The sequence below is a fragment of the Homo sapiens genome, chromosome 8 (assembly GCF_000001405.40).
Source record: "Homo sapiens chromosome 8, GRCh38.p14 Primary Assembly".
Lineage (NCBI taxonomy): Eukaryota > Metazoa > Chordata > Mammalia > Primates > Hominidae > Homo > Homo sapiens.
In genome coordinates this window covers 7,445,406-7,465,045 of record NC_000008.11, presented here as the reverse complement: position 1 = coordinate 7,465,045, position 19,640 = coordinate 7,445,406, and the positions used below count along the sequence as shown (strand labels likewise).

At 43.8% G+C, this 19,640-nt stretch overlaps 1 protein-coding gene across 7 annotated transcripts, besides 2 other annotated features; it reads left to right on the top strand.

Annotated features, from left to right (window-relative positions):
- On the top strand, positions 1,504 to 17,292 carry SPAG11B (sperm associated antigen 11B). Of its 7 annotated transcripts, none has more exons than NM_058200.4 (4): positions 1,504 to 1,603; positions 2,187 to 2,339; positions 14,146 to 14,223; positions 16,997 to 17,292. In NM_058200.4, the coding sequence occupies exons 1-4, from the start codon at positions 1,543 to 1,545 to the stop codon at positions 17,029 to 17,031; spliced, it is 327 nt and encodes a 108-aa protein (NP_478107.2). In that variant the 5' UTR covers positions 1,504 to 1,542; the 3' UTR covers positions 17,032 to 17,292. The 7 variants fall into 7 exon arrangements, with proteins under 7 accessions (NP_478107.2, NP_057596.1, NP_478109.1 ...); NM_016512.5 differs by lacking the exon at positions 16,997 to 17,292 and adding an exon at positions 13,847 to 13,922 and having other exon boundaries at positions 14,146 to 14,443; NM_058202.4 differs by lacking the exon at positions 14,146 to 14,223.
- Positions 16,569 to 17,163: an enhancer, noted in NCBI's record as "H3K4me1 hESC enhancer chr8:7305405-7305999 (GRCh37/hg19 assembly coordinates)". NCBI's record gives its function as "activates a minimal SCP1, AML or CMV promoter by ChIP-STARR-seq in primed H9 embryonic stem cells {active_cell/tissue: H9 hESC(primed)}" and the evidence as "EXISTENCE:reporter gene assay evidence [ECO:0000049][PMID:30033119]".
- Positions 17,164 to 17,758: an enhancer, noted in NCBI's record as "H3K4me1 hESC enhancer chr8:7304810-7305404 (GRCh37/hg19 assembly coordinates)". NCBI's record gives its function as "activates a minimal SCP1, AML or CMV promoter by ChIP-STARR-seq in primed H9 embryonic stem cells {active_cell/tissue: H9 hESC(primed)}" and the evidence as "EXISTENCE:reporter gene assay evidence [ECO:0000049][PMID:30033119]".

The window sequence follows — 19,640 nt, the reverse complement described above, 5'->3', positions numbered from 1 at the left end:
TACAAAAAATACCCAGAGTATGTAGATGAGCGAATAAATCTTCATTTAGGGTTGAGGTAGAGCAGCTGTCTACCTCCTTTCTTGACTGTCTATGTTCTTCCAACATCCAATTATCAGAATTTGATGCAGTAAGTGATTAAAGAAACTTATCATGGGCCAGTTGTCACCTATCTCCGCAGTGTTGCCCTGTGCTCTTGGAATTGGAAGACTTCCTAATTCCTTAAAGTGAAAGGATGTGAATGATGCTCCTGCTCTCCCTGACCAGCACCTCATGCTTTGCAGTGGAGAATCTGTCCTGAGACCCAAAAGATAGTGGCCTCCGCATTGTGCTGCCAGGGCAGCTGCTATGTGCAACTGTCCGCAGCTGCAAACCTTCCGCCCTTTGCTGGTGCTTCAGCGGATGCCCAGGTCTCTATTGTCATTGCTGCCTCTTTCTCCATTTGCTTCCAGCTTTCTCCAGGTAGAGAGTAAGTATTTTTATTTACACAAATGACCTAAGTTGTTTTCTCTGTCTGGATTAAAATATACATGCAAATGAGACATATGAGATAAGCACTATCTTTTCCAGACATCACTGATGTTACATTGGATGCTATGTGAATACAAAACTCTTCAACCAAAGCCTTCTTCACTTTAGTTAAGTCCAGAGCAGACTGTCTGGGTTACATGCATACCTGAGCTAATGCAGCCAAGTAAGAAACACACACTTGGTTAAAATGCTTAAAAAGATGAAGGAGAAGGGAAGACAAGTCCTCTGCTTGGATATTACTAGAGGAGAAAACCCAGACTCAAACACAGATTTTTTTTTTCTTTTTTAAAAGAATTGAATTGGACCCAGTGACATCAACAGGAGGTGTCTGGGGGTAAAGAGAATGGAAAGGGGAGAGAAAAATCAAGACAACTCAAATAAGTTAAAATAGAAAGGAGGGGGGTCCAAAGTGAGGAAGGAGAAGTGGAGGGGACCAAGAAACAGGGAGAGAGACTCAGAGAGGAGAAGAAAAAGAAAAGAACATTTTGAGCAGCCTTGGAACTCTCTGTATAACTTCAGGAAGGGATAGTTTGTAAAACCAGGTCCTACCTGTTATGTTGTGTGTCTTATGCATGATTTTTTAACACTAAAATAAAAACGCTCAGCCAACAGGATAGAATCGACATGGCAGTTTATTTATGTCCCTGTTCTCATGAACATTAGGGGGCTTTTGAGAAGCGTTTGAGGACATTGGCAACTTTATGATAGTTATGTTTGTTCTGCCCCTCCATGCCTTTCATCTTTCTGTTTCTCTCTGTTCTTCCTTATTCACCAAACCCACCCAAGGCATTCAGGCGTATTATTTACTTCCTGAAATATGTGTCTCAAGTGTTTGTTCCACCAGCAGTGGGATAGTAGCGTGTCCACATTGTCCTTTGAGAATGAGAAGTCATCCTGGAGCACAGCTCTTCCCACGCTCCGGGCCCACACACCCAGCCTCACTCCATCAAAGGAGCCCCGCTGCCTGCCCACCCACCCTGGGTGCTTTCTGGCTTGCAGTGCTCTTGGCAGACATGAGGCAACGATTGCTCCCGTCCGTCACCAGCCTTCTCCTTGTGGCCCTGCTGTTTCCAGGTAAAATGGAAAGGTGACCCGGGTCTGGGTGCCAGAATCTCTCTGCAATGGTCATCTGAGGTATGGGAGTCCAGGCTGGACAGGGAGAGATGAAGTCCTTGGGGCATGTATTCCTGGTGGAGCTTTGGGTACGAGTCTCTGAACTGGGTTCATAAATGGCACTCTGAATTGGCTGATGGCACTTGCTTCCCAGGGAAGAGTGTCCCTCCCCGACTCCATTTTCTTATCCTTTTAACATTCCCCTTTCCCTTACAGAGAAGAACATTACATTTTAGGGAATCTTAACAACTGCATTAGTGACACTTGAAATAAATTCTCTGGCTGTGCTGGCTTTGAGGAGGTGCTCAGACTCACCATTCATGGCATACATTTCTTACACTTCATTCACCTTCTCTCTCTACACATAGGTGCATACAACGCATGTGCACAAACGTGCACACACACGGAACACTAGCACCCCTCCCAACTCCCCCACCCAATCACCCATGCTCACTCACCTGGTAGAGTGTAGGTGCCTCATGCTGACGGGTCTGCCAGGCGGAGGCCTCAGAGCATCCTCAGACGTGTGTTTCCACTTGCACAGGATCGTCTCAAGCCAGACATGTGAACCACTCAGCCACTGAGGCTCTCGGAGAACTCAGGGAAAGAGCCCCTGGGCAAGGCACAAACGGGTTTCAGCTGCTACGCCACGCAGTGAAACGGGACCTCTTACCACCGCGCACCCCACCTTACCAAGGTGAGTCAGGGACCAACACGTGCAACAAGTGCATCCACTGGGGAGACGTAGAGGGAACAAATAGACGGGAAGATGTCTGTGCTGGTCGGGGTGGGTGAGCAGTCATTGTTTGGGGAAGACATGGTGCGGGTGCATTGGGCTGCCCTGCCTGTCAGGGAGACCACGGGGTCTCACAGCTTCCCCTGGGGCTGGATCATTGAGGGCCTTGTGGAACGTGGGAGTATTGAGGGGCCAAAAGGCAATTTATCTGAAGCCACACCTGTAATTGCTGGCTTCCTCCAAGAACAGGTGCCAGAGGAGACACTGGTGGAAACATGGCCTCCTGCCAGGTTGCAGCCCCATGCCCTTAGCTTTGGAGGTCGTTCCCGTTCAAGGAATTTACTGAATACCTACCTACTAAGTTTCAGGTGTCCATTGAGGTCTGGGAAATGCTTCCTGAGAATGGGGGCAGAGAATAGACTGTATTGTCAGTCTACTCAGGCAAGGAGGTAGCAGGACATGGCAAGGGACAATTGAGCCCACAGCCACTCTTCTGGACTCTTCCAGAAGGGCCAGGCTTCTGGTCAGCCCCCAAACCCCTGGGCAGGACCAGCTTCAAATCCAAAAGGGCCTGGAAGAGCCTGTAGTTTCCAAGATGCTTCTTTAATGCCAAGCTGATTGCTGACCCTAAGACAGGGAGAACTAGGTTAGCAGATCAGTGGGCAAGAGCAAGAAAGACAGGAGGGTGTTGGCAAATTGCTGTGACATCCAGCAAATAAAGTCCTGCTGAATTTGATGCCTGCAGCATCCTACCCAACCTCCCATCCCTTTCTAATTGGCCCACAGTTCCAAAGGACTCATTCATCTGGATCTCCTCCCAAGGGAAGGGAAAAAGAAAACTCAATTATTACACAACAAATATAAACAGGTGCAATAGTAGGCGTGTGTTATTTAGTCTAACAGTATTCCTGTGAGACAGGATTATTCCTTCCTTTGGTTAAAGGAGATTTAGTGGGGCAGAGCTATATATCTGGAGTTGATGTTTTAGTTTGGAACTTGAAGCTATTAACTATGGAAAGCTGTTTCATATCCATGCCACCCCCACCCTGTCCCTCACGGCTCAAATGACCACTGTTTGATTCTGGAGATGGTCTTAAGAAGCTAATGTTGGATTTTTTCTTTTTTTAATGCAGAACCTGCATCAGATTTAAAAGTTGTTGACTGCAGGAGAAGTGAAGGCTTCTGCCAAGAATACTGTAATTATATGGAAACACAAGTAGGCTACTGCTCTAAAAAGAAAGACGCCTGCTGTTTACATTAAAACTGATGTTGCTGATATAGAAACAAAGCTCTGCCACTTACCTGTTCTCCGGGGCCACGTTGTCCAATCAGGTGCAGGTTTTTTGCGGAAGTGTCTGAGCAGCAGGGAGCGGAGATATTGCCACTTGTGCCAGACAGTTCAAATATTTTATTGTGGCAAGATAAATGACAAAAATGCTACCTGTGATCTTACAGAAGATGACTTAGCTTGACATGAACAGAATTTTCAAAATCACACAATTTGTGCTAGTAAATGTGGATATCATAAACTTTTATTAGAAAGAATTAAAATAATTTGTTCTTTTATTTAAAAACTATTTTTTGAATACCTACTTCTATTCTAGGTACTGTGCAATGGAGTCCATTCTATTCTAAGTACTGTGAAATGTAGTTGAGGTGTCAGGTGTGTGGTCAAACCCATTCTCCATCAGCCCCATCATCTCCTACCTGCAGGCCAGTTCGAAGCCCTGTTCTCTAGCAGCAGCTGAGAGAGTGTGCAGGCAAATGCCTTCTGGGGAGATACTGAGAGCTGGGAGTTACTGCCTGTTCTCTTTGTGCTAAACCTGGAAGAATACCCTCTGGAAGTCCTCTTGTGCCCCTTTAAAACTACCCATTTGTTCTCTGTGGCCTTAGAAGACACAAAATGCAGAGACCCATTTATAACCCGATGGTGCTGTGCAATTCCAGGCTTTTGGTGTCCTGAACAAAGAACTGGATGTGATACTCAGACAGCAAAGCAAGCAGCAAAAGTGTGTGAAGCGCAGTATTACATTCCCGGAGAGGGGAGAGTGGGCTGACTTCTGCCAAATGAGATTAGCATGGCTTCGGTGTACCTTGGGTCTTTTTATGTGTTTTTTCCCCTTCTCTTCGCAAGGCTGCCTGATCTTTTGCCGGTGCCTGCCTTTTGATAGATAGGTGTGTTGCTTAGTTACTTTAGCCTGTGCGGGCTTGTGAATTGTCTCCATCCCATAATTTTAACTACATGCGTGATAGGTAGTCCATATGCATGAGCTTTAATGAGCTGATTATCATACAGCATCCTGTTAAGGATACTTTTTCTCTTTAATGCGCATGCCTATCTCTGAAGAGCTGCCCCTTCCTGGTTTGATCTGGATCTTGCTGGCCATGGGGTCCTTGCTCTCTTCTTTATCTCACTTTTTCTTTTGGCTGCTTCACTTCTGCCTTTTATCTTGCTTCTTGCTCACCCACCCCTTCACCTTGCTTCTGTTTCTGCTTTTATTCACTCTATCCTTTATCCAACTTCCAATTTCCTCTGCAATTCTCCTGCCTCACATTAACTTCTAGAGATAAGTGATTTAGGAGCCAGTCCCCCAGGTGGCAGCTATAAAACTGTGCTTGAAGTATTCTCCTTCAAGGGAGAAGCTGGAGACCTGGATTTCTTGCTGGAGCTAGTCGAGAGGAGCAGGTGCAGTGCCTACCTATACCTCTGTTCAGGCTCCCACAGGTCTACTGTTCACCCTGCCCCTTTGGCTCCCAGATACAGACCCAGAAGTCAACCCTCAGGCAGCAGATGGGAAAATGGGTAGATAAACCCCTTGCAGGTAGAAACCGGGAGGTGGGCATTTACCTGCCTGCTCTGGCCTGAGCCCAGGGAGAGAGCTGCCAAAAGTGCTTGCAAATCTGTGTCCCACCATCTCTTTGGTGTCTGTGGTTTAGGGAGACCTGCAGATGCCCAGCTCTATCAACCCTGAGCTGGGTGATTTAGGAGCCAAACCCCTGGGTGGGAAGCATAAAGGTCAGGGTACTATATGTGTGGTCCAAACCCTTCACTCCTCAGGGAGAAGCTAGGAGTTGGGACTTCCTTACCAATTAATTGTAAGGTGTTATGTCTGGGATAGGGATTGTGCGGGGAGTGTGTCTCAGCTCTTCCCACCTGTTTTCACATGAATATTTTCTCAGTTGCTTGATGTGTAGTAGTCTTTCAATTAGTCCATGGTTTTCTCTCAGAAAGAACCGATCTGTGTGTTGATATTTCTTTGGTATATCCGTGGAAGGAAGGAAAGGCTGGAGCCTCTTAGTCCACCATCTTGCAGATATCAGTCTGGCACACCCTTGATTACTGTGTAGTTGAGCGTTTTTTCTTTTGTTTATTGATCATTTTTTCTCTTCTGTAAAATTTAATAGTTTTACTGGGTTACTACTTTATTCTCTTTTTTTTTTTTTTTTTTGAGACAGAGTTTCACCCTTGTTGCCCAGGCTGGAGTGCAATGGTGCGATTTTGGCTCACCACCACCTCCACCTCCCGGGTTCAAGCGATTCTCCCAGGTTCAAGCAATTCTCCTGCCTCAGCCTTCCTAAGTAGCTGGGATTACAGGTGTCTACCACCATGCCCGGCTAATTTTGTATTTTTAGTAGAGACGAGGTTTCTCCATGTTGATCAGGCTGGTCTCAAACTCCCGACCTCAGGTGATCTGTCCGCGTCGGCCTCCCGAAGTGCTGGAATTACAGGCGTGAGCCACCGCGCCCGGCCAGGTTACCGCTTTATTCTTATCCATGTACATGTGCTCCTTTTATATCTAACCTTACATATTCTTTCCTCCATCAATTATCTTCCCTTTCTCTGGAATGCCTCCTGCTTAAACCCCAGTTATCCTTGAAATATCCTCTCATTATCTTTCAACCATAATTTTCATGCTTTTCCCTTTTGTTCTCTACTTTGCAGATATTTATTTTTATATCTGTAGAGCCCTTCTATTTTTTTTTTTTTTTTTTACTATTTTTGGATTTTGAAGTTCAGTTATTAGATTTTTAATTATTTTTAAATAGTCTTATATTTGCAAATAGTCCCTTTCTTTCTCAACGTGTGACTTTCTCATGGGATCTAATTCTCATTTTGCTGACCACAGTTTCTCAAATCTCATTAGGAATAAATACATATTGATTGTTTTAAAACTGCATTTTTCCATTGAAATCGCACATATTCCAGTTCAGTTAAGTCTCTTCCAGTTTCTAAAAGTGCTGACTTCACTTCTGCTAGTTTTACACTGACCGCTAACATCTGCTTGCTCATGCAGACCAGCTGTGCAGGATTGCTTTGGTAGGGTAAGCAAGCGAGTGAGAGGTGGCAAAGAGTGAATGTGGGTAGAATCTGCTGTTTGTCTTAAACTTTTCTGTAGGGTATCTCTACTTAAAAGAAGTTTCATGGATGTCTTTAATAAATAAATAGGGAAGAAATAATGATATTTGCCTAATCTGTCCATAAAATCTTCATCAGTGATCATTATTTTAGGCTCAAGTTAATTAATAATAAACTGCACATCACAAAACTTTGAGCTCATTATTCTCTTTGCAGCTTTCTTTAATCCCCATAAATTAAAACTTCCTGCAAATATTGTTATGTATTAGATTGCTACAAAAGTAATTGTGGTTTTTGCCATTGAAAATAACGGTCAAAACCGCAATTACTTTTGCACCAACCTAAATATAAGCATCTGGGTAAGAATCAGGATCCTGGGGCTCAGCATAGGAAAGAAACTAGGTACACAGAGCCCTTTACAGAATGCCACCTTTCCAGGCTTTTTTTCTGAACAAAGATGTTCCTTAATCAACTTATGTATGGGCACACTCACACGGGGCTGATACCCACGGATAATGAAGGTATATGAAACTAGTCCTCACATACAAAACCAGAAGCACTGGTAACTTAAATAACCTCTTTGTAAAGCAATCTTAATATGTATGTAAGATATAAAATACTCGTTCTCATTGTTTCAGTTATTCTGCTCAGAAATTATCCTGGGAAATAAAAAAATACTTTGAGAAACCAAAAAAAACTCTAAAAAGTTCAAAATGGAGCACTATATTAGCAAACTACAATAAATCTACTCAGAGATATTACATATTCCTTAGGTATAATAAATATAACACAGTGAAAAACCATCAAAATGCATAACATTTTCAAAATACTTACATGTCCTAAAAATTATGATACCAATGTTCACATATTTGATATAAAATTAACTGTGAAAAGTATGCTTAAAAACAATAAAGTTTCTAATGTTAAAATTATTGGTGATTTTTAGATATTTGCACCTTTAAAAATACCATCAAGTTATTGCATTACTCTTAAATGTTAAATATACATTTGTAAGAACAAAATTAATGTGCCTAAAAATAAACATATATATGTATATACAAAGATATCACTTAATTATAAGCAAAGACATTCTGTTGTAGACTTAAGTTGCATCCAGAAACTCACAGAGTTAACATAAGAAAGCGCTTCCTGGGCAGTAAGATGATAAGACTCCTTGTTTGCATAGCGGTGAGTAAAAATAAATAAAAATTTTATAAAAAGATGATATGACATTTAAAGCATGTTACCCAGGGAGACTTTGGAGCCTACCTGGGATTCATAAAAAACAGGTAGAAACTGATTTTTTTTTCCTCTCATTCTTTGATATTATAATATTTGCAGTGCTGGGTTGTGGACAAGGGGAGGGAGAGCATTAGGACAAATACTTAATGTATGTGGGGCTTAGAATATAGATGACGGGTTGATGGGTGCAGAAAACCACCATGGCACATGCATATCTATGTAACAAACCTGCACGTTCTGCACATGTATCCCAGAACTTAAAGTAAAATAAAATAAAAATAAATAAAAATTACAGACGTTAAAAAAACAAATGTGCCATCCTGCTTGGAGACAACTGAATAAATATAATGGGTTCTCAAGGTCAGTCCTGAGCCACCAATTCCGTTAGTTATGCATTCTTTGTTCTCACAGCAGCTTTTTAGTACAGGCCCCTGAGCCCTGATGAGGTTTTATGGCCACCAGTTTTACGCAGTGGGAAGAGGTCCTTAGACAGAAGCTTGCTGGAGGCTGTCTCAGAACGCACTGCAGCACACCTGACTGCCTTGTATTCCACTCTGCACGCCCACCTTCCGCGCAGCATCCTTCCCTCCCCTGCACCCCAGCAGCTTTTCCCGGGATTTGATCCTTCTGACTCATCCATTGCTCAGAGAGTCCCCATCATCAGGAAGCCTGTCTTCTCTTCAATGCCTGAGGTTTGCGGGGCAAGGAACAGGTGGGCAGGCTCAGTCAATTCCACCCCATTGCACCTCGTGTGACATAAATAATGGGCGCTTCTAATCTTTTCTTCCTGTCCCTACATGTGGTCGTCACCGCAACTCTGCAGGCTTGACCTGCTCTCACCTGGCTTATTTTTACCTCTTTGGGTCATGGGAAATGACCTTCTGCACCCAGGGAATCTCCCTTAGTTGATAAGACCAAAATGGAAATAAATAATAAGACCAAAATGGAAAGTTAGTATGCCTTCATAAAGAGAGATTAAATTCATGAACACAAACCCTGCCTCTTTCTTGAAAACCCAAAATACATAAATAAATAAAACCTCCGGAGCAAGAGGAGTAACATTAGCATTGTCCATGAGGATAAAAAAGTGGGGAGAAACCCCAGCTGACTTTTTCATCATCCCAAAAGGAGACACCAGTAAGCAGCCACTGGATTTGCCAGCTGTGCACATTTCATATATATGGAATCATACAATATGTGGTATTTTGTGCCTAGCTTATTTTACTTAATGTGAGATTTTCAAAGTTCCTCCATGTTGGAGAATGTGGCATTACTTCTTTTCCTTTTGTGACTAAATAATATTGCATTGTATGGATGCGCCACACTTTGCTTATACATTCATCAACTGATGCACATTTGCATTGCTTCCACCGTTGACACTTGTGACTAATTCTGCTATGAACACTACACTCATGTACAGGTTGCTGTTTGAACACCTATTTTCACCGCTTGTATGTATACACCTAGGAGTTGAATTGCTAGGCCATATTGGTAACTCATATTGTTTAACTTTCTGAGGAACTGCCAGACTTTTCCACAGCAGCTGCACCACTGTACATTCCCAGCAGCAACATATGAAGGTTACAATGTCTCCACATTCTCACCAACACTTGCTGTTTTCAAAAATTTTGTTTTGTTTTGTTTCATTTTGAGACAGAGTCTCGCTCTGGCGCCCAGGCTGGAGTGCAGTGGCCCGATCTCAGCTCACTGCAACTTCCGCCTCCCGGGTTCAAGCGATTCTCCTGCCTCAGCCTCCTGAGTAGCTGGGATTACAGGCACCCACCAGCATGCCTAGCTAATTGCCCGGCTAATTTTTGTATTTTTAGTAGAGATGGGGTTTCACCATATTGGCCAGGCTGGTCTCGAACTCCTGACCTTGTGATCCACCCGCCTTGGCCTCCCAAAGTGCTGGGATTACAGGTGTGAGCCACTGCTTCTGAAGTTTTATTTTTTTTATGACTGTCCTAGTAGATGTGAAGTGATATTTCATTGTGGTTTTGATTTGCATGTTTCTAATGACTAATGATATTGAGCATCTTTCGTGTGCTTGCTGGTCATTTGAATTTCTTCTTTGGAAAAATCTATTTAAGTCCTTTGTCCATTTTTAAGTGTGTTGTTTGTCTTTTTGTTGTTGAATTGTATCAATATTTTTTAAAATATAGAAACATTTTTTCTACTATCAAATGTTTGCAAACCCAAAGTTATCTTTCCTCTCTTCTCCTTACACTCTTCTTTTCCATTCATGAGTATGATGCACATCAGAATAATTAGCTTGTGTGTTGGCACAAATTGAACTCTATTTCCTTTCAACTCTGCAATTATATGAACCTATGAACCTATAACCAGATATTAACAAAATTAGCCAATAAGCGTGATTTTCTAGTTTGATTTCTTTGAAATGATATGCCTTATTCTTCAGAATTATCCACAAAATAGTTCCGTGGGGATTGCTTTCTGGGTCTGTGATTTGGAAATGGATTCAAGTCTGGAGGAGAAGGTACATGATAAAATTTAATACTATTAATTTATTTCTCCCCCAAATGAATTTATTTTCCAACATAGTTTATTGTTTCCAAACTATACAGAAATTTTCTAAACTATAATTTCACAATGATTTGATTAGTAACTGTACTGCTAGAAAAAATATGCCATCCACATTTACCTTGGATCCTTTCCAAATAACGTGTAGTATAAATAGAAAGAATGAATGTAAAGTATAAAATATGCATTTTATTGTTTTATCTATAAGTCATCTTAGTGACTTTTAAAAAATGACTCAAATTTTTGAATATCCACACTCAGTGTTTTTATCAAACAATGGTTCATGTATCGTACAGCCACTTTGTCCATGCACAGGATACATTCAGAATTGTCATTATTCCTTGGGACCCTTGAACTTAGGGTATCATCTTGGTGTGGAAGCCAATTTCCCTAAGGGGCAAATGAAATTGCTTTTCTTTCTTTCTTTCTTTTTTTTTTTTTTTTTGAGAGATTTCAGAGATGTCTTCAGAACAAATGCTCCACAGAGAAAGAATTTCACATTTTAATCGATTTCTTAAAGTACTGAGTTGGACCCTCACAAATATTCATAACTATTTTACAATTACTTAGTACATAGCTAACATTTAAGGTAACTTTTTTTTTTCTCTCTTTTTTTTTGGTGGAGGGTCAAAAGCAGCTTGGAGTGCCCAATTTTCCCTAAAGTCTTAACTTCAAAGGTGATTTTGCAAGGTACAGAAAGGTCTGTGAGTCAGAGAGTCCCTGCCAGGGCACATTGTCCTGCTTAATCTCTCCAGAGGTGGAAAGTTCAAAATGAACACCCAGCCCCTGCCTCTTTGAGATGCTCACACTGTTCACCCATGCAGAAAGTCCAAGACCACTGCTTGATGTCTCTTTTTCAAAATCCATGTCTAGGTAAGACTCATGGTGAGATATGGTTGTTGTAGACTGGTTAAATAACGCAGAAGACAGCTTGAAGAAAATATGATGTGTCTAATCTGAAGAATAACAAGGCTCTGCAAGCTATAACAAGTAATATAGGCAAGTCCAGAATGATATCTAGAGTCTGCTATTGCTTACATAAAAATGGGGTATGGATTCATCTCTGCTTCCATACACATGGGACACCTCTGGAAGGATTAATAAGAAGCTAACAGCAATTGTTATGAAGCCCAGGGGGATAGGAGAGAAGACATCCTTCTCACTTGCCCCTTTTGCTTAAGAGAATTTTAAGGGAAATAAATCTAAGTGATCCTGGGACTAAAATCAAATAGGGGCAAAATGTGCAGATTTATCCACTGTGTGTTTTAATACCACACATTATATAAACCCACACACAAAAATATCGTGTCCTTGCAGATTCTGTTTTCACAACTCCCAGCACCCCAGAGCCCACAAACCTCCCTCCAGCCCAGGATGACACAGCCCTGTGGTTGCCGGGGGCTCTCTGCATCCCTCACTAGACTGTCACCTCCGACAGCGGATAACTTCATCAAATGAGAGAAGAGCATGTCCTCTTCCTCCAAAGTAGACAATATCCTGGCTCTTCATAAATAGGTGAATTTTGCCAAATTTTTGGAATAATGTGGTACGTTGTCTCTGTTTTTTTTTTTCTTTCAGCATAGCGTTTGTGAGGTTCATCCACGTTGTTGTACACATCTTCTTGTTTTTCTATTCTTGTTGTGGTGTGGAAATACATTGTGTTTTGTTGTTGTCATAATACACTATTTGGTTGCATTCTCTTGGCTGCAAGGAAATGTGCTACAATGAACGTTCGTGCACATGTCTCCTAATGCACGTGGGCCTATGTTTCTGTTGGTAGATGGGAGTCATGTTGCTGGGAAATAAGCTAATTATCTGCTCAACTGTGGTGGACACCGCAGCTTTCTGAAGGCAGAAAATATATCTTTACACAACCATGTCTCTAGCACCTAGCACAGGGCTTGGCACTAAGTAGCCACACCTCAATGTTGGTTCACTTTCCTCTTCAATATCCGTATATGGAATTATTGGTTGATCCCTGCTTCTCTGAATATCAGGAAGCCAGTCTATTTTTAGGCAGAAAGGGAAGAGTAGTCAGTAACCTTCTGCCCACAGCCTTACTCAGTAGAGCAGATAAATATGCTCATGCTGATCAGTATTCCCAAAAACCTATAAATGTCCCATTTTGTGCCTTCTCCGCTCCATTTCATTCCATCATTCATCATATTTGTGCTCCTTCACGGGAGGGCAGGGAGGTTCAACGGACCTTAAAACATGAAGGTCTTTTTTCTGTTTGCTGTTCTCTTTTGTTTGGTCCAAACAAACTCAGGTAAATGTCTCCTGGTTAGCCCTGGGGAAGGTAGTGCAGGAATTCCATTTATGTGTGTGTCTGTATGGACAGTGTGTAGATGTGTCTGTATGTTGTTAGTGGATGCAGGTGGGCCACTGTGGGGCTCAGTCTTGGACAATTTTGATCTCCCCTGTGAAGTTTTTTAAAAGCTAAATAAGTGTTATAAAGGTCTTGACACAAGACAAAGGGGTATGCTTGCTCTGATACAAGTGGCAAGCACTCACTGCAGTCTGAGAAAAGTTTTCAGAAGGAAGTTATAGTCATATGAATGTCAGAGCTGGAAGGGAATCAGAGATTGTCTATAGCAGCCCCATGCTCTACAAAAAGAAAACCAAAGTCCAGAGAAAGTGTTAATTTACCATGGTGCAATGAATCTTTATGGTCATAGTAGGTCTTCAAACTTATAATATTCCCCCTGCTTGCACATAGAACACATTTTACAGATGGGCAAGCTGAAGTGTAACCAGTTAAATGAGTTGTCTAAGGAGACATAATGAGATATTGGAAGAAGTAAGACCAGAATCCAGGTCTCCACGCTTCCAGGCTGGGGGCTCTTCTGTCTTGACTAAAGGTGGACCCCCCACCTTCTTCACTTTGCTGTCTCCTCCAAGCTGTGACAGGGCTGAGATGATACAGAATCAGGGATTAGACCCCGTTTGGAGGTTGGATGTTGTGCAAGAGTGTTTTCCTAATCACGCAAGACCAACACTGTGCTGTTGTTGTTGCTGCTGTTGTTGCTGCTGTTTAAAGTCATCGTACGTAGCATTTGCAGATCTGACATAAGTAAGATCTTTCTTTCAACCATCTCTTGCCCAATGTCCTGTTGTTATAAAAATTTAGGTGGTCATTTGTGACTTACAAGCCCACAGGTCCTGGTGAGGAGAGAGGTTTTATTTTCTCCTTTTCGTTGTAGGACATAAAACTAAAAATTGGGCCATAAGTTGAGAATGGGTTAATACCTTTAATTTCCTTAGAGACCAAGACCTGTCCTATTCTGGACCACTTCTGTTTTCCAAAACTCCCTTTGTTTCCTTCTAGTGCACATCTCTCACCGGGAGGCTCGAGGACCCTCATTTAGGATCTGTGTGGACTTTTTAGGGCCTAGATGGGCCAGGTGAGCATTCATAAAACACACCCTATCATCCTCCTGGCAACATTTCAGATATAAATTATCGTTCCTGTTTTAAAGCTAAGAGGCCAAAGTTCGGTTAAACTGGGGCTTGTCCAAAAGTACTTAGCCTTGTCAGAATATATAACCCTTGGCAGCGGGCTGGGGTCATCTTCTATTCTCTGCACTATATGAGTTAAATGTCAACTCTCTTCTGTTGTATCCATAGGGGATGTTCCACCGGGAATTAGAAATACCATCTGCCATATGCAGCAAGGGATCTGCAGACTTTTTTTCTGCCATTCTGGTGAGAAAAAGCGTGACATTTGCTCTGATCCCTGGAATAGGTGTTGCGTATCAAATACAGATGAAGAAGGAAAAGAGAAACCAGAGATGGATGGCAGATCTGGGATCTAAAATATAAGCTCCCGGAAGGCAGGGATGTTGAAGTATCCCAAGGGCTTAAAGGAATGTGTGGCTTATAGTAGGTGTTCAATAAATATTTGTTGAATGAATTTAGCACCAAAGGTGAAGAGCTGATAAAAGACATTTTTTTAACTTCCTTACTTCTCCATGTACTGCCTTTTCAAAGGGGTCTCAGAATTTTGTGATATTCCACTTTCCTTTCCTAGTCAAGGGAATATCTCTTAAGTATCTGGAGATGGGAACTGACTAGAAACCGAGCTCCAAACTGATTTTCAGAGAGACATAAATGCAACCAATCTGCTGCTCTGTTTTCCTTCTGATGACATCTTTCTTACCACACCCAGCACTAGCCTTCTCCTGCTTATTCACCCAGATGGTAATGCACCTTATCCCTTTTCCCTTTATGCCTCCTCAAGCAATAACACCAACAGGTCACATTTCAGTAGGATAGTGTTGTTTTCAAGCATTTACTCTTACGCTATTTCAATTTATTAATACAACAAGCTGATAGTGTGTATAATAGGGGGTAAGCAGGTCCATTTTAGGAATGAAAGAAAAATGAAAATCATCAGGTGAAGCACATTTCCCCCAGGCTAGCAATTCATAAATGGCATTCTCAGTATGCCTATCAGTCAGCATTCATTCTTCTATGATCCTTCTAAAAAACATATTTCTGTGCAATTGGAGCAAGGCAGGGCCCCTGTTCATGGAGATTCCTGAATGCTTAGCTGCCTTTTGCCTTTCTCTGGATCCTGCTTGAATTTGTTGAATACTAATTCCAATAGTAGTGAACACCAATTACAAGTAAGGAATTTAAAAAATAATAAAAACAAACGTGCTGAGAGATAGAGACCACATGCCAAGCTTTTTCCTGACTGACAGGTGGCTTGGGAAGATGCTCTGTGTTCCTGTTTCTGTCGCTGCCTGAGTCCAGTGTGCTTCTGAATGAGCTGAGGTGCTGTAAAGAGCCCACTAGAATGTACACTTTGGGGCTACAGTCTCAATTCCCAGCTCAAGTTGCAATGAATATTTGTCATCTTGCCTTTGGCCTCTCGCAACCTCTTCTAAACTCACTCTTGTTTTTTTTCTTTTCTAAATGCAATCAGACAGACCTCTGGAAGTGCACAGAGTAAGTCTCTCTTAGGCACAGGCACCTCTGCAGGGCTCTCTGTCATGCCTCTAGAGGGGAGAGCCATTGTTCCATCCCTGAAGGGAATGACTTCCTGAAGGGCATTGGCCCCTATTAGCCTTGGCTCAGAGTGAAACGCAGCAAACGTGCATGCCTCAGAACTGGCAGACACGTTCTCAGCCAGGAGTGCCACCAACCCACACCAGCAGATCTGTGTACCAGAAACACAAAATAACATGAAGGGCCACTGGGGGGCTGGAGCCTGGTTCCATAAGGATGGGACTTCTGGGCAGGTGCCGTTAGACAGCAGCACCTTCTTTTGGCCTCATGTTCCTCAGAAATGAAATGAAGGAGGTGGGCTCGATCTCAGACTCCATCAGAGCACAGCAGCCTGGGGGTGTGGAAGCAGAGCCTCACCCAAGGACCAAGGGGTCTCCACCAGGTGAGATGGGGAGGATGGGAACCCCGTCCCTCCCTGCCAGGGTGCTGCAGGTGAGAACCCCCAGGGAGCCCTCTGCAGAGTCCAGGGCCGGCCAGCAGGGCACTCGCGTGGGCCCTAGGCTGTATTATTTAATATTTTTAAGGTGGACCCTGGGCCTGGGCTGATCTAAATTGTGGAAAATGTCATCTCCCTCTTATGTAAAATTTCTCCAAAGGAAGTGTTTGTCCACCTGTAAGGCATGGTAAAAAACTAGTACCTATGGCGTTGCCCAGCACAAAACAGGCTGTCTGGGAGTGTTTGCTGAGGCTTCCGGGAAGCAAACATGGAAGGGAAGGGAAGGGAAGGGGAGGAGAGGGGAAGGGAAGGGACGGGAGGGAAGGCGGTGCAGGCTCCTGGAGTCCTCAGTGGTGAGCTCTGGAGTTGCTCTGTTCCCTTTTTAATTTTTGTTTACTTTTTGGCTGTTTTTTCTTTTTCTTTTTTTCAATGTAAAGTGTCTCTGTAAGGCCTGAGAATGAATCTGACTGGATCAGCCCAGAGACCAAGTGAGAGCCCCCAAAACTGGGGCTTACTTTCTTGTTCCGCCCCTCTGGGATATTGGGCAGATCTCCATAGCATCCCTGTCCCCATCTGTAAAGTGACAGGATTGAACTCAGTCCTAAAATGTCCTGGCGTGGTTCTAAGACAGAATCCCCAAAACGCTCTTTTTCAAAGCCTGAAAGGCTTGGGTCAGGCAGGCATCCCGGCAATACCAACACCTACCACGCGAGGGCGCGCTGCCCTTCCGGCGCCTGCAGATGGGATTTTTTTTTTTTTTTTTTTTTTTTTTTTTTGACCACTTGTTCTGAAGCTGGGCACTGGGCTAAGGACAGGAGCAGCTGGGGTCACCGCAGGGGAGAGCCAGGGGGCCCAGGTTACCAAAGCTTCTGGCCTGAATCTCTTGGCACTGATTACAGTGCCTCATTCGTCTCTGCCCTGCACAGGGTACCATTCACGCCGGGGGTGCGGAAATGAATTAAGTTCAGACTGAATCAGCAGGGATATTTATTGAGGCATTGTCAGGCATCTGCTCTTATTTGGGAACAGGGACAGGCCAGCAGCACAGACAACGCTGTGGATAAGGAGAGTAGAGACTTCCTCTTCCTGCCTCCTGTCTTCTGGAGTTGTGACCTCAGGGTGGCCCAGGTGGATCGGCTTCAGAGGCCAGGAGGCAGCTCTCTGCAGCCGAAGAGCAGGAGCCTCACCCAGGGTCTGTGGCTCTGACTAAGCCTGGACTGCCTCTCGGCTGTGCTCCATGGACTGGCTCCCCAGGGATCCATGTGAGAGACCGGAGTATGATCCTCAGTGCGAGGACAAATAAAAGTAGTGATTATGTCCACCCCATCCTGCCCTCCGTCCAGATCTGTTTTCAACTTGAGGATTCATCTGCCTTGTCCTTGCTAAGACACCTTCAGCCTGTGGTCAGGGGAAGCTGGGAAGAGGTGCTGGGAGACCCAGGACATCGCAAGTTGCTTCTCTGGCTGGCACTCAGAGGTGCGTGAACCCTCTGCCAACCCTAAGAGGGGCAGGAGGGTGCCTGGTGATGGGCCGGAGCTCCAGCCAGCCAGCAGGGGCAGAAGGACTAGGCCTGGTCCAATGGGGGCCCAGGATGTTTTTCTTGGCAAATCCTCATACTTTTCACATAGCTCTTTCTTCTGAGATAAGTGTGATCATCTCCACTGTATCTCTAAGGAATCAGCTTCCTGAGATGACACAGTAACCAGGAATGACAGAGCTGTTCCCTCCTAGTACTCAAATTGGCTCAAATTTCAACCCCACTCTGAAGCTTTCCTGGCCCTCTCCCCGCATTCCTGCCTGGCATTATCAATTGCTCTACGTCTCTGCCCCTCAGACACTTCGGTGCATCCTATCATAGGGTCTTGTCACTCTGTTGCCATCATTTATTTACATATTTATAGTCCTCCCACTAGACCTTGAGCTCCTCAAGGACAGGGCCTGGTACATAAATACTCATATTTACATCTTTAGTAACCACTGAAGAACAATAAATATGAAATAGAGGAAGGAATGAGTGAATTAACCTAAGCCTCAACCACTGGTCTTCTTCAGTGCACCACTACTGTCCTTTTTAATCCAAGCACTGGGGCAGATTTCACCAGGGGATGCTGGGAAACCCCACTGTGATCGCGGCCACATCCTAGTCACAGCCTGAAGCCCGCATCCTTGTCTTATCTCTCACAATCCCCTGGTTTCACCGCCTTCTTCCTCTCCTCATTCCAACCACTCCCCGTCCCATTGGGGTACTCATCTCTACAATCCGGTCAGAAGGTGGGGCGAAGCCTTTATTAGCTCTCCTTTATTATAGGGCCTCACAACAGAACTTGTAACCCCTTCATTTTCAGGGGCTTAACACTTACCCCACGGGAGGCGGCAGAGCTAACAGGGAGGCTCGACGTGTTGGGGCTGGAGAAGTGAAAAGTCCCCTGGCCCCTGAGTCTCCACACTGAGCATCTGCCTCTGACAGCATGACATGTGCACCTTCTGTCCCTCCCTCATGGAATCATAGACAGAAAAGGGACCCAGGATGTCACTAAATTGAAGCCATGCCCCAATGAGCCTCATGGCATCCTGGAAAAAGCCCTGAACTAGGAATGAAAATGCCTGCGTCCTTGTCCTATGTCTGCCGTCCTTGACCTCACTGAGCTTTGGCCCTTCCTTGATAATTTGAACACACGTTGTTTGCTCTTTGATTTTGAAAACAAAGATTACATGAAATTCCTATGAACCATACAGTATTGGGACTGTACAGGTGATTCATTTTATTAACTAATAATTGAATCTTCTTGATTCAAATAAGATACAGCAAATGTGATTTGAGATAGTTGTCAACCTGGAAAGAATACATATTGCATTTTAACATCATACAGGTGGAGTAATTTAGTGACTAAAACACACACATGCAGATACATGTATAATTTACACATAGTGTCTCACTATGCAATTATAGCCAGAATGGATTTTTTTTTTTTTTTTTAGACTGAGTCTCACTCCATCACCCAGGCTGGAGTGCAGTGGTGCAATCTTGGCTCACCGCAACCTCCGCCTCCCAGGTTCAAGGGATACTCCTGCCTCAACCTTCCCAAATAGCTGGAATTACAGATGTGCACACCTGAACCTGGCTAGTTTTTATATTTTTAGTAGAGACGGGGTTTCACCATGTTGGCCAGCTGGTCTCGAACTCCTGACCTCAGGTGATCCACCCTCCTTGGCCTCCCAAAGTGCTGGGATTACAGGCATCACCCACCGCGACCGGCCTAGAATGGATTTTTAAACCACCCATGCATGAGCCAATCTCCCACACAAGCTCAAAGTCTAAACCTTTTAGAGTTGGTCTGGGCTCTTCAGATCAAGGCAGTCAGGTCTGTCTTGCCACCTCTTGGAACACTTGATGCAAATAATCGTCACAGAAAGGTGAGGCTCTTGTCCTGCCACCCATCTCCGAAGGTGATTTATTATCACCAAATCCCACCCCCATGACAATCCTTGCTGGGCGATATGAGCAGGTCCATCCCACCGAAACTCCTCCAAGCCCCTATCCTTCCTCACATGAGGCAGAGACGGGCAGCATAGCTCTCCCAGGCTGATTATCAACCAACTGAAAATGGCTGTCTGTTAACCTACTGCAACAATAAAGGGATAAGATGGATTTTTAACAAAACAAAGAAGAAAA